We start from the raw sequence: 18,824 nt of genomic DNA on the forward strand, positions 1-18,824 counted from the left end.
TTCACTCAGAAGCAATGTAACCATATAAAACAAACATTGATCTACTGTTTCTGCCCTAACTGCCCCTCTGTGATATTAGGCAAGACACAACTTTCTGAAGCTCACCTAATGGAAAAAAATAAAGTCTTTTATTTCATTAACTTCAAGGGCAACCCCAGTTTTATAAATTTACCATTTGTCAAAAGAAAATGCAAACTTGTTTCATGTCTGTCAGTATAAGGAAATTACCTTCCAACTTTGCTAATAGACACTATGACCTTTATATCTTTGTAAGTATAAAAAATGATTTTGTGCATATATGAATCCCCTTTAGCAGTTAGGTAGAAAAAGAAATGTGAGTCTGCCAATTACATCAACTCAGGCAAATCATAAGTGAAATCAGTAAGGATCTCAGAGATTCAAAGTATCCGTGATTCTAATCCTATAATAATCCTCTGATGGCAGGATGATCAGGTGTTTTTTTAAAAAAAAAAATCGTTACAGTTGAAATCATTGGATAGTCTTAGCAAACAAATCTACAAATCCTACTACATAGCTTTTCATACGCAATTCTAAATAAGAAATGCCTCATTACATTTTGTCCAACTGAGCAAAGTTGATTGGTAGTAGATTTGCAAGGTTTTGAAATAAGAGAAGAGAGGGAGGAAGGAAGTAATTTAAGGACATGATTTCTAATTTGTAACGTCCATTTATAATATTCTTTGGGGTAATTTGCTGATGACAGTACAGCTTAGGAGATAGATCAAGCTAATTCATTAACTGCTGTATCTTCTTGGAGAGGATTACAGATGGGGGAGAAATTGGTCTGTAGAATTTCAAGTACCAAGGGATTTCTTCAGACTCAGTCTGCAGACAAAACTAACAAACCCAGATGATGGATCATTTGGCTAAATCTTACTTTTCTGTCCCAGTAGGGTAATCACAGACACCATCCCAGGAGCAGAATTTTAAAAATGCCTTAGTAATAATAATAACTACACACATGCATTAATCACTTGCCATGTGTTAGTTAATTTTATAAGTGTTTTAGAGGTTTAACTTCATTTCATCACAGCCTATGAGAAGGTTTTATTGCTGCCTTACATTTTATGAGAAAATTGAGGCACAGAGAAGTTAAGTAATTTGATCACACGTTAGGAGGTAAAGCCATGATTCCAACCTCATCAATCTGACCTCAGAATGTGATTATATTTTAATTTATTAGCATATTGTCTAGTTAAATGCTTTGTTTACTGTATTACTATTCTTTAGAGAAACTGAAAATTGTTTGTCCTCTCTAAAAACAAGAGTTAATTTCTAAAGCCAAGTTACATTATTAAAGGGAAATAGGGAAGTAAGGTGACAAATAAAAGGGGAACTGGAGTATAAATTTAAAATATTTTAAGACATATGGATTCTTATTACTATAACAATAGTTATGCAAACCATTTTTATTTTTTTTGTCAGTTTGGCCCACAGTTTAACCTCTTTAAAGCCCACTTTGTTCATCTAGATTAATGAAATACCATAGCACCTAGTAAGTGATCAGTAAAATTATGGTGATTGCTTTATCTGTATTAGGATTAAAACATTCTCTCAATGTAATTGGATATAACTTATGAAAAATATGTGTGTGTTACTCTTTTGAAAATGGCTCTTAAAATCTTACAAAGTATTTTGGAGGCATCTATCTTTCTTTTATCCCCACTTCAAGGGTGATATGTAGAGTAGTAGTGGCCGCAGTGCTTGAGAACATCTTAGAAATGCAGAAACTCGGCCACACCTCAGACCAAGCAAATCAGGATCTGCTTTCCAGCAAAATCTCCAACTAAATCAAAAGCACTTTGAAATTTAAAAAGCACTGGTTTATAGAACTGGATAAATAATGATTAGGATAAAGAAGCACAGGAATCCCGTGACAGTTGTAGGTTTTTTAGCTCAATCAGGGACTGAAAGTGTAAAGAGGTAGGGGGAAAGAGTTTGGTTTCATTTTTTATTTTTTTGGTGTTTTGTTTTTGTTTTTAAGCTAAAAGAGGCCAAAAGGCTAAGGAAGAAGAGAAAGCATGCAGGAATGAGACACTTTACTAAAGAAACCCAGTTCCTGAGTTTTTTTCCGATTCAGAAAGGAATGGGATGGAAAGCAAAGGTGGATGTATCATCAATCTAATTTTGCGGAAAGGAACTGACTTCTTCCAAGAGGGAGGAGGAGGGGCACAGAGCAATGCATTCTGGTGAGTAGTCGGGCAGGAAGCTGAAGAGGTGAGTGAGCAAACGGCAAGATACCTGGTGAGAGAAAGGGGAGGAGTTTTCTCAGAGAAGGTGATGGAAGTTTGGAGGAGTTGGTGTGGAGGACGGGAGGGAAATGCAATTGCAGAAATACAGATGGGCCAAAGAAGGTAGTGAGGGCTAGGACATTTGCCACAGTGCTTCTCAGTCCCGTGGCATGTGAGGCCTGAAAGAATGAGTAGCCTTCACATAAAAGGACAATAAAAGAGAAGTGATGTTGCTACTATTATGTAAGTTAAGGAATGGAAACTGTGCATGGTGGCTCGTGCCTGTAATCCCAGCACTTGGGGAGGCCAAAGCAAGAGGATCACTTGGGGCTAGGAGTACAAGACGAGCCTGGTCAACAAAGTGAGATCTTTTCTCTATGGAAATAAATAAATAAATGGGAAATGTAAAAAGTAGGGCACTCTTTCTCTAGAATTTTGAAGATGCAGGGCAATTGTAGATGATGGAATGAGGTTTCCAAGGGTGCAGTGTAATGGTTAGAAGGTGCGGCAGCCAGGGTGAGTGGGGTAGAGATGGAGCCTGCTGAAAGGGATTATGCACATGAGAAAAAGTAAACAACTAAAGGAGAGCAGAAATAATCAAAAGCAGAGTGTGTCAGGCTTATGACTCAAAGCAGTAGCCATGAAAGTTGTTCGGCTGAATCCCCAGATGCTGCGGAGATTCTAATTGTTATCTGCATTTGGTATAAACTAATTTTGAGACTAGGAATTGGAGCAGAATTCTGAAAAGAGAGGGAAAAGGTTTGCTTTCTGCAATGATACTTTTAAGTCTAAGGTCAGGAAAGTGCGTCCTAACATGTTACACGAAGTTTTTTTTTGTTTTTTTGTTTTTTTTTTTTTGAGACGGAGTCTCACTCTGTTGTCTAGTCTGGAGTGCAGTGGTGCAATCTCCGCTCACTGCAACCTCCGCCTCCCGGGTTCATGCAACTCTCCTGCCTCGGCCTCCTGAGTAGTTGGGATAGTTAGACATCTGTATTCTCATTACAGAGAAACTTGCTCAATTGACTCCTGCTAGCCATCCAGTGTACGCAGCCTTCCTGAAAAACAGTGGTATTTATGGGAGGTTGGCCCTTCTTTTTTCAAAGTTCTCTTTGTTCCCTTTTTATAATGAAGCAAGATGATAATGATCACTGGGTCAAAGTAGAAAACTAACAAACAGAATAGGAGAAATAGATCTGTGGTTAAATCCTTTTTCTTAATAGGAAAAGAGCTGGAGGGAAGAAGGGAAGGCAGAAATCAAAATCAATAGCAAAAAATAAAAACAAACAAACAAGTGAGAATCAAAACGTCTGTCTCTTACCACCATGATTTTTAGAGGCAACTGGCAGAATACAGCAAGTGCAGCAATTCCCCTCTTACCAAAAAGATACATCATTTCCTATAACTTAAGTTTCTATCATCAATCAGAGACTAATTTGCTCTCAGATATAAATTTCCAACCAACCAGATTTGAGAGAATAGGAAATTGCCCAGTTATTGGTCATCAAGATCTCATGGTAACTCCTTTTGATCAGATTCCTTTCTTCCTAAACTTTAGGTGAATTGTAAATAGATAAATTGTATGCCAGTACAGTTTCTCCACATTTTTCTTAATACTGAGCACTGTAGAAAAGGGAATTTTAAAATGGTCATTTCAACAGGCAGGGACATGTGTCAAGCACAGACCCTTACAGAAACATAAAGATATTTTGAATTTTGAAAAACAATATGACTGCATCGTTAGACAGAATTTAACATACATAAGGGGGCATAAACTCAGAGGGCACTATACAATTAGATAAACTGGATGACAACAACATGTGACTTGTTATCTGGAAGACAACAGCCCCGTTCCCTCCAAATTCTTGGTTGGCCTCTGTTGAGCCAGCCTCATTTTAGCATGCCCGCACCTCCTGCTTTTAGGAGAGTACTTATTTCCAGCGATGTTTACAAAATGGGGCATACAAGCATTAATTGTAAACAATGATTTCAGTCTTCATCTAGCTTAACTGCAAAACATGAAAAGACTTTCACGAAAGTTTTTCTCCAACTACGGTTTCTGAGAAGGCTTAAATGAAGCCACCACATGTGTAAGCTTATCAGGTTACTGCTTGCCATCTCTACCACCATGGGACTGTGAATTTCTGGTCTTTGTCCTGCCGATTGAGTTCTGTTCTCTCAAGAGCTACTGTAGCTGAAAGGTATTTCCACATGCTTCTGATTCTCCTCCCTTTATCACGTTATTCCCAGCATGACTCAGACACTTTGTGATACCTCCAAGTGACACCATGGAAAAGGCTGAGAGTTTTTTATTTTACATGCATTTTATTAATTGTATATTATCATATATAATTTATAATAAATATGCACTATATTAATATATAAAATATACATGCATTGTACATGTCTATTTCAATTTTTTGAAAGGTTACATAAATACATGCAAACGTGAACATTTTAAAGGCAACAAATAAGTATTCAGTGAAAATTATATTTTCTTTCTGCCAATGACTTCTAGCCCCTTGCTTCTGCACCCAAGATGCAGTCACACTATTACCAAGTTTTTGTGTAAACATCCATGGATAATACGGGCATATGCTAAAATTGGTAATACATTTCATTTCCTTTTTAACACAACTTGAATTTTATACACACTATTCAGTATTTTGCATTTTTCACCTTATCGTGGAAGTCAGTCAGTTTGTCTTGGTATGTACAGAGCCTCCTTCTTTTTGACAGCTGAAACTGCATACTATTTCATTCAATGGAGTTACCATTTATTTATAAATCCCCTATTGCTGGATGTTCAGGTTGTTTCTTAGTCTTTTAAACTCATAAGCAATAATATATATACATTCTCGTACATATGTTTCCATGCACATCTAGTGTCAATAGCCAAGTGGAATTCTTTACCAAAATATGTCTATTTAAATTTTTATAGCTTTTGACAAATTGTACTTCATAAAAGTTTATATTCCCTGCAACATGTGAGTATAGTTCTGCATATAGTTCTGCACCTTCTAACAAACACTACACTTTCTGATCCTTACTAATTTATAAGAAAATAAAAATGTATAGTTTTAATTTTGATTTGGGACACTTTCCTCTTTGAGTTCAATTTATCTTTAAATCCATGGGAGCTATCTGTTCCTGTGCCTTGGCCATATTTCTACTGGATGATTTTGTTTTATTTCAGTGACTTGTATGAGTGAGTTTTTTAAATTAAGACAATTAGCTCTTTCCCTCCCATAAGTTTGCAAAATATATTGCCTGTCATTTGACTGTGTTCACATATTTATAATTTTTTTGTTCAGGCTCAACCCAAGGGAGGCAAAAAGAAGAGAATAATTTACAACTATTATTACAGGGGACACTGTGGGAGAACCACTGTCTCTAACATTACACCTCTATTTCCAGCTCTATGCTGCTGCCATCTTTTGAGAGCCAACAAACCCTTTCACCATGGGAGAGCCCTATCATCTCAGACTCTCACTTGCCATAGTGTTTATCTATATAGACATATGGCTTAAGTCTTCATTCAGCTGAATTGCAAACAAACAAACAAGAGACTCACTTATACCATGATGTTCTCTAACAAGAGTCTTCAAGAATGTTTAAATAAATATACCATATATAATGTTGATTAAGCCCCTGATTATGAAGACCTGACCTGGAATGAAACCAGAGAGAACAGAAATGAGAGCAATATTCATAAATAATTGACAATACCCAGTGACTGACCAGGTAAACCCACAGGGATAACGTGAAGAGTCAGGGAGGGCTCCATTGCGGGGCTCTGAGATAATGCTGTGGCAGAGCTATTTCTTGCAGAGAGTTAAGGCTCACAGTGAGAAAGGAAGAACCACATTTTTTTACATAAAATTTATTTTATGCTTATTTATGTGGTCAATTTTGTGACAGTTTACTTAAGGCATATATTGAAAAAACGACTAAAAGATAAACCTTTTATCTTTAAAAGGTTAGCCTGAACTGTAGAGACCTATTATATTGCAAACATCATAGTAACCATGTTTCAATAGTGTTGAGATCTCTTATCTAATTAGATCACTTCGTGAGGCCAAGTGATTGTGCCTTGATGATTTGAAAGCCAGATACCATTCTGTTGCCTCAGCCAAGTAGTTTGCACCAGATGTTGAGACTTGACTGCACAGAGAAAGTGACCTAACAACAGCTGTGGCAAACCCATACTTTACCAGTTTCATGTGAGATCTTACTAGCTTGGGCCCTTCTTTATTTCTGTGGAATTGTTGTGTGGCTGGAAGAAATGCCTCCTCAGCCATGCTCTGAGAAGCCCATGATGTTAACAGAGTTGCTAGAGAATGAATGGAAAGCTAAGAACAGTAATCCATATATTTTTTCTTTTAGAATTTTGACACAGAGCATTTCTAAAGGCAATATGCTATTCACTAGCACATGCAGCAAAGCACCTGGTACTGAGCCATTTGCCAGTAAAAACTAATGAATGATGAGTGGGGATGAACACAGTGATGAGGAGAGAGAGAGGCTTGTCTATGATAGGATCTGGCTAATGAGTTGGCACTCATGAAATTTCAATGAATAACTGGAGGGTTCAAGTATTTACCGGTTACCCATCCTCTTCTTGACCTCTGTAATTAATAAGAAATATCTCAGAATCTAGTCTACAGTACATATGTTTGTTAACCACGAGACTCCAAATTGGCCATTAATGTCTAATAGATGGTGGGCCTAAGTTTGTCTCCATGCTTATTTACTATGGTTAACAAATGTATTTGCAAGAGACCATACCAGAGTGAATAAGAGTGTCAGAATCTATTCAGGAAGCATCTCTCCGCCAGGCGCAGTGGCTCACTCCTGTAATCCCAGCACTTTGGGAGGCCAAGGAGGGCAGATTACGAGGTCAGGAGATCGAGACCATCCTGGCAAACACAGTGAAGCCCTGCCTCTACTAAAAATACAAAAAATTAAGTGGCACGTGCCTGTAGTCCCAGCTACTGGGGAGGCTGAGACAGGAGAATCACTTGAACCCAGGAGGCGGATGTTGCAGTAAGCCGAGATTGTGCCACTGCATTCCAGCCTGGGCAACAAAGTGAGATTCCATCTCAAAAAATAAATAAATATAAATAAATTAAAAAAAAATAAATATAAATAAATTAAAAGAACCATCTCTCAGTCACCTGTCTCAGTTGATTGATTTAATTATAATTATCTGAGTCTTAGCTCCAAAGTTAGTCCATTTATAAATAATATCATTTTTTGCAAGCTAACTCATTTTATTGCCCTTCAAAATTGATGTTCATAGATTTCTCGGTTTAGAAAGAAAAAGTAAACTCCTCATCCATCTAATCACTTGGCTCCTTTAGCCATGGTTTCACTATTTAATATTATCCAAAGACACATCACAAAATTATCTACTTACGTATTTCATCTGACATGGCGTCTGCAGCTGTTTATTATTAAATTATAAATGAAATCGGAGTTATACCTGTAAAAAATATGGACAATATTCTCTGTTGAGCTCATCTATCCCTAAAACCCCCAATCCCTCAGTACATACCATGGAATTCCCATTTTACTCTGAGTGCCATGCTCCATTAATCCCCAGATCTCAAAGTGTATCTGACAGGAGTGATGTTGCACATTATAAAATAAGATTTCTCAAATGCTGCCCATCTGTTAGTGATACAGGCAATCTAAGTGTCCTATACATAGAACATACATACATTTCCTGCATTGCATATTCTTTCAAATATTTGCTCTTGGCATTGCTAGGTGTCCTACTGTCATAACAGACAAGTCATTCATTAAGCTGTCAGCACCTTGCTACCCTGCTCCCAAAGAAGGTCCATTTCTGTGTTTTCTGTTTCTTGCTGGATGACCTATTCACTCATCATAAGCTGAGCAGTTACTCTCATAACGGGTGCAACTGAGTTGTTCACGTCAACATATGTAAACCAAAGCTCTACTTCTTCATTTCCTGTGGTCCAACACTTGACTTGTGGAGGGCACTAATGGATTGGAAAGCCAGCCTGCAGTCATGAGTTAAGTTGGTGTCAATGTGATACACTTCTTGGCTGAGACATCTAAGGAAGGGACATTAAAAGCAAAAAAGTGGAACAAACAAGTAACAAAAATAAAATGATTAATTGTAAACACTGTTTGAAAATCTTACAGGGAATCAAGAAAGGCAATTAGCTACACAGACCTATACATTGAAACTATTTGGAACAGAGTATATGGGAAATTATGAAATTATATTAAAATTTAAAGCATCTAGTATAGCACATATTTGTAAGATGAAAAATAATAAAAATTAATTTTTAGAAAATTAGAGCTAAACCGTATGGATTTTTATCTTTGATTTTGTTGTTTATATTTTAAGAGGTCTTGTGTTTATGAGAAATTTAGTATTCAGTAGAAAAGTAGAAAGATAATCAATTTTAAACTAATTGAAAGATCTTAAAATATAGTTTCCTAAACATCACATCCAAGCCCTTATCTTTCTTCTTGAGCTTTTGCCTAATCCATGATTATTTTTATTCTAGGGAGTAGAAAATGGGAAAAAGAAAGAGAGAGAGAAAGAAAGAAGAAAGAAAGGAAAGATTGATTTAAATTGGCCAATTTGGCTTATAAGTAACAACTTTGATTTGTATAAGTAACAACTTCGATTTGTGCTTGACAGAAGATTAAAATCATTAACTTTGGCCAGGTGTGGTGGTTCATGCCCCTAATCTCAGCATTTTGGGAGGTTGAGGCAGATGGATTGCTTGAAGCCAGGAGTTTGAGACCAGTCTGGGCAACGTAGATGAATTGATAATCTATATATTCCAGTTAAATATGAATCCCATATTATCAACTCTAATAGAGATTAAAAGGTTGCTGATAAAATATGGTAACAGAAAAACACTCTCTCAACCATCTTTCTACTGTATAAATGCTTGGTTTTAACAAAGAAAACCAAAATAAAGCTGGTGATGCATGATGTTACATAGGATTTATTATTCTGAATATATATTGGCACAGGACTAGGAAAGATCACCTCACTAATCAGTTAAGTCATTGCATATTTTATGACATATACTTTATCCTACTTGCTTCAAGTTTGGTTGTAAAGAAAGTGAAATGTCCTAGAGGCGTGGAGACAAAAAGCTAATTTATATCAGGGAGAGCCATCCAAATCCCACAAACACAAATGAAAAAAGTGAGACACTCAAAGAAAATCATGTTAATTCATCTAACTAGTATTGCTTTTCTGTAGCACAATGCATGTAGAATATCATGATCCAGGTAATTTTAAATTACATTTTCTTCTTCATCCTTTCCAAATGAGACCATTTTATTTTTTGAGAAAAATGGGACAAAATCATTGTTCTATTGTGTTATTTTATTATATATTGCCTCAATTTGTTAATGTATAGAAGCTTAGTTTCACACAGCCATTGACCACCAAAATGCCACCCCACCTTGATTTAAAGATGTAGTCATAGCAATATAAGTGACAGGCCCCAAATCCCCAAAAAAGGAACCACAGCAAGTTTTTGCTGTGTGTGTGTGTATGCATGTGTATATGTAAAAATATTACGTATCAGTCAGGTTAAGTTGCATTTCTTATTTTGTAATGAAATGTATATGCACCTGATCATATATGTTAATATACTTATCTATTGATTAAAATGCTAGTCAGAAATTCTATATGTGGGCAGCATTTGGTTGAGCTGAGACCTCGGAATCATTTTCTCCGTACAGATGGTGTTCAAATTTTCTATCATATAGCTAATGGTTTCTGGAGTTTAGATAAGAATATGAACAGAGGTAAGAAAGGCATTAAAATTGTTTAAGAAATGTTTGTTAGTTTCAAAATGACCATTTAAATAACAATGATTAAAATAATATATTTGAAAAATTACATGTTCGTTTGGGATAGAATTAAAAAATCAAATGAGGGGTGAAGAGGAAGAGCGGAGAAAGCTAGCCACAAACTTTTATCAGTCTGTTTGGTTTCAGATCATCCTTACAAATGCCAACAGAATGGAGAGGGATTGCTATTTCTAGAAAAAAAGAGACTCAGAAACAATCTATGGTTGATCTTGTCTATTATCCAAGTGATATTTGATGTAGCATTTTTCTGTTTTATTGAATTCCTGATATATTATTTATGTGTTGTGGGTTTTTATTTTTAGATTTATGGTACTATTTTAAGTCTGTTAGAATTACACATACTTTTTAACACGTGTTATTTCTGATGTAAATCAGTTATTTCTGATGTAAAGCGTTAAGTTCCAAACATTGCCTTCTACAATTTGTCTTTCTCACTTCCAATAAATTATTCTAAAACTACCTACTCTTAGACATAATTTCATGATAAGTATGGAATTCAGAGATTTTTTTTCCTCCATTTTTTTTCTATAAAGAAATTCAAGACCAAAGAATCTTAATGACACATGGTAAATTAGTGCCTTCTTTAGGGAAGGGGTATCTGTTTTCTCCATCATCAAATCTCCAGTACCCAGCAAATTACATAGAACATGGTAAGTACCCAAAAACTATTTGATTAGATGAGTAAAAATAGGAAGTGCAAGAGTTTGAAACATTTCTACAGCTCAAAAATTACCCATAAAAATTTACTTTTTGTTCTAAGATAAAATCCACATTGAAAATTAGTTCTTCCGGGAGTTGTAGCCTCTCTCACCAGATTCCAAACAGTAACCAACACAAATAATACGAAGGTTTAAAAGCTTTTTGGCCAGTCGGTTTCTTTGGTCTGTTTGACCAAACCCCATAATTACGTGAGTACATGGTATAGATTTCCCAACACATTCCAATCTCAGATATCTCCCTTATTGTTCCCAGAAATACACATATGGTTTCCAAACTATGTAAATGCATTTTTTCCAGAAAATATGAATACTGTCAAAAAAATTTTCCATGGCAGAATATAATCTAAAGTAAACTTTCAAAGCTGTGCTGTATTTCATGGAAATTGGGATAATTCTTGGAAAATGTGATAACACTAAGCAATAATAATTAAAGTAGCAATGTAGTAAAGGTAATTAATGAGAGTGAAGTTTCATATAAGAGACAAACTTTAAATATAATTATTATAAAAGAGAGAGACAACGAATTCTATTTGAGAAGAGAAACTTTAGATGTACATAAAGATGGATTAACAATTTTTCTGTAGAAGTGAGAAATAATATTAGCAAATTTACCCCATGTAATAGAGACCTGACTGAAGATGCTCCTAGAATACAGTCTAGTGAGCATAGTTCTCACCTAGAAAAAGTTCTCACCTAGAAAATATTCATGGGATGAATAAAATAAGTAAGTGGAGTTTTCCGAACTCCAAAACTATTTTAATCATTTTCACTACCAGTAAATGTACACAATTATATCCTTTAAAAAAATAAAACTGTTTGTTAGATCCTGTCCAATTCTGTTTCAGAAAAACTGTTTGTTAGATCCTGTCCAATTCTGTTTCAGAGATGGAGTTCTATTAAGCTGCTTTATGTCAGGGAGTTTTTATAATGTTGAACCAAGTCACAAAAAAGTTAAAATTTATTTTACCATCAGGTTACTTTTCACTGATGGTGGTCATGGTTTCATTGGTGGTGATGGTATTGTTTTTAGTCAATTTTATATGTAGTTGGTTTTATAAATATGACTAAAAAACTCTCTGAATTTGGTTGGACTTATCATTCCATCAGCATTTGTTTGTCTACATGAAAATTAGCGTGTTTCTAAGAGTCAGAATTAACAAATATATATCCCTCAATAAATCTATTTTTTTCAGGTTTATCAGTTTGCAACAAGGAAATACTGGTAGCCAGGACCACCAAATATATTTCTTAATAGGCAAGAATTTATACTTTATTATTCATTTAAATGCAAACATTAGAATTAACTTTGGCTCTAATTTCTTTAAGGGTTAAGCAACTTATGAACATTTTTTGCAGATGTATTTCCTTCTATAAAGTTACCTCTTCCTGTGTAGTTTAATAAGTACAGAGTCAGCATAAACAGTATTCCAAAGAAACTTGTCAAAGAACATTTCATAAAATACAACTTTTTCATAAATAACAGCCAGCCACACACAAAAATGATTCCCATATTAGTGACGGATTTAGAAACTAAAAACTGCAAAAATTAAAAATAACCATTTTAGAATTTTTCTTTTCAGACAGGAAGATATATTTTGTCACCTCTTGTTTGAATCAACCCCCAACTCCCCCTGATAAAAAGGGGGAAAAAACCATAATTCAGAGACGTGCAAATATTTAATATTACTTGTGCTACAAGAGTCTTATACCTACGATATTTAAAATTCTTAAACAAAAATTCTTAAACAAAAATAATACCCAACTATCACCATTGACATCTTAGAGTTTGTTTTCATTAGAGGGGGTCACAAGTCACTTACCCCTAAAAGAAAACTCCATGAGAGGGTAACCTGTTTTCTGGAAACCTTAGAATTCTTAGTTTAAAATTCTATGTGCTTCTTATTCAATAACATACTATATTTACTTAAGAAGGAGTTATTCCTGGATAATGTTCACATCCACATTTTTAGGTTGAATAAAAACAAGAGCCAAATAAACTTGACAATTAGGTGAACAAAGTTTCTGGTTTAAAAATGGCCTCTGTCTGGAAGCCTTGGACAAAGCCTCTCCCGAACTCTCACTAAAAGAACTATGTAAGGGCAGAAAAGATGTAAATTTATGACCCCATATACTAAGATTGACAGACAACCCAAGGCCTGAATCTGGAAGGAATTTTCAATAATTGGAAGTCAGACAGGGCTGAGTGTATTAACCAATTGGTGCCCTGTGTGCATGCCATCCTGTGACATAGAACAACCTTGACAGAATGAGAGATGATAGAAGGCCACCAAACCTGATCCACATTCCCCTAGCAGAGAAGCAGGACCTGCTTCTGATCAAGGATCTCTGTAGGTGATGCTCTTCCCCCTTTCCCCTCTTTGATGCCTTCATCCTGTATGTTCTAGTATCTGAAAGTCCCAAAGCAATCTGCATAAGAGAGAACTAGGGCAAGAGAGACCTGCAGTCGAGGTGAAATGCTGTAGCCTTGACTGTGTAGACCCAATAACAAAACTCCCAAGAAGACACAGCCCAAGGTGAATGGGAATTGATCATAAAAAGATGCTGGGACCTCTGCACAGTATCCAGCTCGGCAGTCCCCAGCCTTTTTGGCACCAGGGACCAATTTCATGGGAGACAATTTCTGCACGAACCAGGGATGGGGGATGGTTTCGTGATGATTCCAGTGCATTACATTTATTATGCACTTTTTACTTCTATAATTGTTACATTGTACTACAGAATGAAATAATTATACAACTCACCATAATGTAGAATCTTTTCCTACAACTAGACGGTCCCATCTATGGGTGATGGGAGACAGTGACAGATCATCAGGCGTTAGAGTCTCATGAGGAACGCACAACCTAGATCCCTCACCTGCGCAGTTCACAGTGGGGTTTGTGCTCCTGTGAGAATCTAATGTGGCTGCTGATCTGACAGGAGGCAGAGCTCAGGCAGTAATGTGACCGATAGGGAGGGCTGTAAATACAGATTAAGCTTCGCTCGCTCACCCACCACTCACCTCCTGCTGTCCAGCCTGGTTCCCAAAACAGACTGGTACCAGTCTGTGGCCCTGGGGTTTGGGACCCCTGATCTAGTTCTTCAGCTGCAGATCTATCTGAAAAGTTTGCTCAGTAAAAAAAAAAATGGCAAGCCAAAGGCCAATCTGCTCAATGAAAACATTGAGTCTGGAAATATTATTGTTCATTTAAAGATTGATATAATAATAATGACAATAATCATAATAATAGTTACTGAAAATTACTATGTGACAGGTACTATTTTTGGTGCATATAGTTAATTGTTTTACCTTCATAAAACATGATGAGGTGGTTATGCTTATTCCCATCTTACTGATGAGGAGACTGAGACAAAGAGAATTTAAGTCAAAGTAATTTGCTGAAAGTGACACAGGTAGTAAGTGATGAAGGTATGATTTGAACACAGGCAGTATAATTCTAATTAAACTCTACTCTTGGCTGAGAGCAGTGGCTCACGGCTGTAATCCCCGCACTTTGGGGGGCCAAGGTGGGCGAATCACGAGGTCAGGAGTTCGAGACCAGCCTGGCCAACATGGTGAAACCCCCGTCTCTACTAAAAGTACAAAAAATTAGCTGGGCGTGGTGGCGGGCGCCTGTAATCCTGGCTACTCAGGAGGTCGAGTCAGGAGAATTGCTTGAACCTGGGAGGCAGAGGTTGCAGTGAGCCGAGATTGCGTCACTGTACTCCAGCCTGGGCAACAGTGACAGACTCTGTCTCAAAATAAATAAATAAATACTCTTAACCAATATTATAAATGAACAAAAAAAACTATAAAGAAGTAATAAAGACAAAGTGTAAATATTGTGGGATAAAATAAAAGAAACATCATCCTGAAGATATTAGCCGGTGTACGTATCTTAAAAAGATTATAAAAAAGGAAACATCATCCTGAAGATATTAACAGGTGTACATATCTTAAAAAGATTATAAAAAAGAAAAATAACTGGAAAACTTTTAGCTTCCTGAAGAGAATCCAAGAAGACATGGCCACTGTGAAAGAAGAGAAAACTTAAAAAGAGAGAATAGCTTGGGGTTTAATGATAAGTGGATGAGGTAAATAAAGATGCAAGTGGTATAGATTATTGCATTGGTGACACAAGTTAATGACCTCCCTCTAGCCACAACACCCTTGGAGATGTCACTTTGCAGCCCCTCCCAGGAAGAAGTGGAATCTATTTCTCCAACCTGGAATTAGAGCTGGCCTGGAGATGATACACTTTGACCAATGAAATGCTTGAATTAGAGCCGGCCTGGAGATATGCTTTGGCCAGTGAAATGCTCGAATTAGAGCCGGCCTGGAGATATGCTTTGGCCAATGAAATGCTCTTAAACATTATCACGCCAATTCTGAAACTAGGCCTCAAGAAGCTGTGCTTCGTTTTACTCTCTCTCTCTCTCTCTCTCTCTGTCCGTCTTTCCCTAAGACTCCTTCTGCCATGAGTATAAACTCAGGTAGTCTGCTGGAGAATGAGGGGCCACATGAGTAGAAAATGAGTGGATCTACTGTGAGGGTATCCTAGACCCGCAAGCCCCCAGTCAGCTGGCCAACTTGCAGCGGCTTCATGAATGAGCCCAGGCAAGATCGGCCAAGCCTGGCCCAGAACAGCAAAACTGCCCTGGCTGACCCATGGGCACATGAAAAGTAAACACTTGTGGTTTTATGCTTTGTGTTTTGGAGTTGTTTATTACTCAGCAATAAGATGGTAATGAAACATGTAGCTGGAAAGAGAAAAGGCGATATGCACCAGAAATATCAGTTATTTCCTCCATCAATTATATTTTTTCGTACTCTATGTTACCTTTAGAAAAAAATCTGCCCAAAGTTCTTCATCTGACCATCTGCCTCCCGACTGAAGGGACATCAGGTCATGTGGCCCTATCTCCCCATAGCCACAGCTGTGGGGACCAAGAGTAGAAATCTGGTTCCAGCTGGAACCATCAGAATTTCATTTATGAGAATTTAAAATTAGCTCGCAAAGGCTCTAATCAGCATTTGAGAGAAGCGAAGGCTCTTTTGAGGAGATTAAAAAAAAAAAAAAAACAATGAACAAAATGAAGCAGAGAAGAGAGTATATAAGGCCCCAGAAACAGAAATAGAGAAAATTGATTCTTTGTGCCACAGGTTACTTCCTGGGGGGCCCATGAGATACCTGCGTCCACATTGTTTTCTTTTTCCTATCGTAGTAGAATATGTTCCCATTTTGCATGCCTCGGAGGGTCACCTGCTCATTCTTCAAGACAAGACAACTCAATAGGATAGAATGGCCATGTTTTCATTTACTGAAACCAAATTTTAACAAGGATGTAGAAATACTATAATATACAAAGGATTTTTAGCTTTTCTAACCTCTATTATCATAGCTCCTTTAGTTACTTTCTTTTTAGGAAAGGCAAGAAGAAAAGGTAGATTTTCATGAGAAAATTTCAAAATTAGATCTTTCCTCCTCAATTGTTTTAAATGTCAAATGTTTACACATGGAGAGTAAAATGGAGAACGGATGCCCTTCTCTAGAAAAATCAGGCTTCCAGTATTAATTAGGAAATGATGTGAATTCCACTTCCATTTTAATTTCCATACAGTGGTTTCTGCTGTGAAGATCCTAACTCTCTTTCTTCCAGGGTGCTGGACTGTTCTTCCCATCAGATAAAGATGTCCACAGCAGGAACCACTAGATAGAGATGGAGATGAAGATGAAACTCACGTTATTTCCCGGTATTCTCTGCCTGAATATTCTCTGCAGTGGTGCAAAGTGTTAAATAAAGAGATCTTGGAGCCATTCCTCCTCTGTGTGTGTGTGTGTGTGTGTGTGTGCGTGCACACATGCTTTATACAGAGAAAATGCAGTGCAGTATTGAAGAGCCTTAGGATTCAAATCAAAATCCAAAGTAACTACAGAGAAAACGCAGTGTTGAAGAGATTTAGTATTCAAATCAAAATCCACTGGAGGATTGTGTAAGTCTCTACTTCACTTCGTCTTAAATTCCAAGTCCGAAGTGGATTTCCTAAAAGGGTTGTCAGTTTGCAATATTTTCTTTTCTGTGCCTTTTGAAAAATGATACATGTGACTTTCCTGAATCTGAGTGAGCATAACAGCAGATGCAAAGAGATTGAGATGGTGCTACAAAGCTGCCAGAAAGATTTTTTCTTTTCTTTAACAAAAAAGAGAAAGGGGACCAAAAAAAAAAAAAAAAGAAATAATGCCCCCTTGACAGTTTACATTCCTTCTTCTTTCCTCCTTTGTTATTTATGTTCACTGACTTGTCCCTGGCCTCCACATTGATCACCTGTTCTCTTTTCCATTCCTATTCAGAAGCAGAAGCTGCCAGTGCTGGTCCCAGAAGTAACAACCCAGATCCTGAAGGCATCTTTCCTGGAAGTTTTCCTAAAAGATGATCCAAACACCTAACTAACTATACTGATTTACAACAGCACCAACAACATCAACAACAAACCTAAGGCCCAGAGGTCAGAACTATTACAAATATAATGTCGTATCCATAAATTCCTAAATCTTAATGCCTCATGCTGCACTTATATAATCGGGGGTGGGGGGAAAGGTGGAAAATGATGAAGAGGAAAAACAGTACACAGATATTCAACTCTGAGTTTTCTGGGTTAAGGATGAGAAATAAACATTAATTGAAAACTATGTGTGCCATGATAAGGGTTTATAATTTTGACATATGGAGGAGGCAAAAGTAGGTAGAGTGAGTTGGAAAACTGAGACCAAAATGGACATTATACTGAAGTACTATATTTCGCTGTCTGACATTTGCAGGTGCTTAGTAAATATTTATTTTTTCTGGTCAACTGCTTTCCTCATATTCTTCCTTTATAATATTCTCTAGGGAAAGTAGGGCGAACTCAGACTGAGCATAGATAAGCCCACATTTATAGCCTACTTCTTAATGTTTCTAAATCTCATATCCGTGGGTTTAATCATAATATATATTTTATGAAGTTGTTGAATAAAGCTAATGCATGAAAAGAAATTGGCACATAAAAAGCAATGAGGAAAGGCTGCTGTTTCTTAGTAGGAGGAGGAGGAGGAACAAGAGGAATGATAGTAGTAGATGGGCTCAGATGAAAATTTCTTAGAGCAGCAGAGTGTTAACAACACTTGCAGATTTGGGCAAAAACAGTCACAGTGAAATGATGGAAAGGATTCAAGAATAAGAAGTGAATTTGTGCTAGATATCACCTTATTACCTTCACTGTCCTAAAACTCTATAATCCTACATATGTGAATGATATGTTGAAGTCAATCAATCAGGAAATTATTTTCATTTTCAAAATTAATCAGGGCCAATTGTGTCACTGATCTAGAATCTCACAGTTAATTTTAAAAAGTAATACTTCAAAAAGTTAACTAAGCCAGGGGTGGGTGGTGGCTTACGCCTGTAATCTCGACACTTTGGGAGGTGAGGCGGGCAGATTGCTGGAGCTCAGGAGTTTGAGACCACCCTGGGCAACATGGCAAAATTCCTTCTCTATAAAAAATATGGAAATTAGCCAGGCATTGCAATGATGTACACCAGTAGTCCCAGCTACTTGGGAGGTATTGGTGGGAGGATGGCTTGAGCTCAGTAGGCAGAAGTTGCAGTAAGCCAAGATCAAGCCACTGCACTCCAGCCTGGATGACAGAGCCAGAACCTGTCTCAAAAAAAAAAAAAAAAAAAAAAAAAAAACAACAACTAAAAATGGATCATAGACATAAATGTAAAATACACTATAAAACTCCTAGAGGTTAGCATAGGAAAAAGCCTAGATGACCTTAGATATGGTGGTGACTTCTTAGATACAACACAAAAGGCACAACCTATGAAAGAAATAATTGATAAGCTTGACTTCATTAAAATTAAAACCTCCTCCTCTGCAAAAGACAATGTCAAGGGAAGGCAAAGACAAGCCACAGACTGGGAAAAAATATCTGCA

This window comes from Homo sapiens, chromosome 17 (genome assembly GCF_000001405.40).
Source record: "Homo sapiens chromosome 17, GRCh38.p14 Primary Assembly".
Classification (NCBI taxonomy): Eukaryota; Metazoa; Chordata; class Mammalia; order Primates; family Hominidae; genus Homo; species Homo sapiens.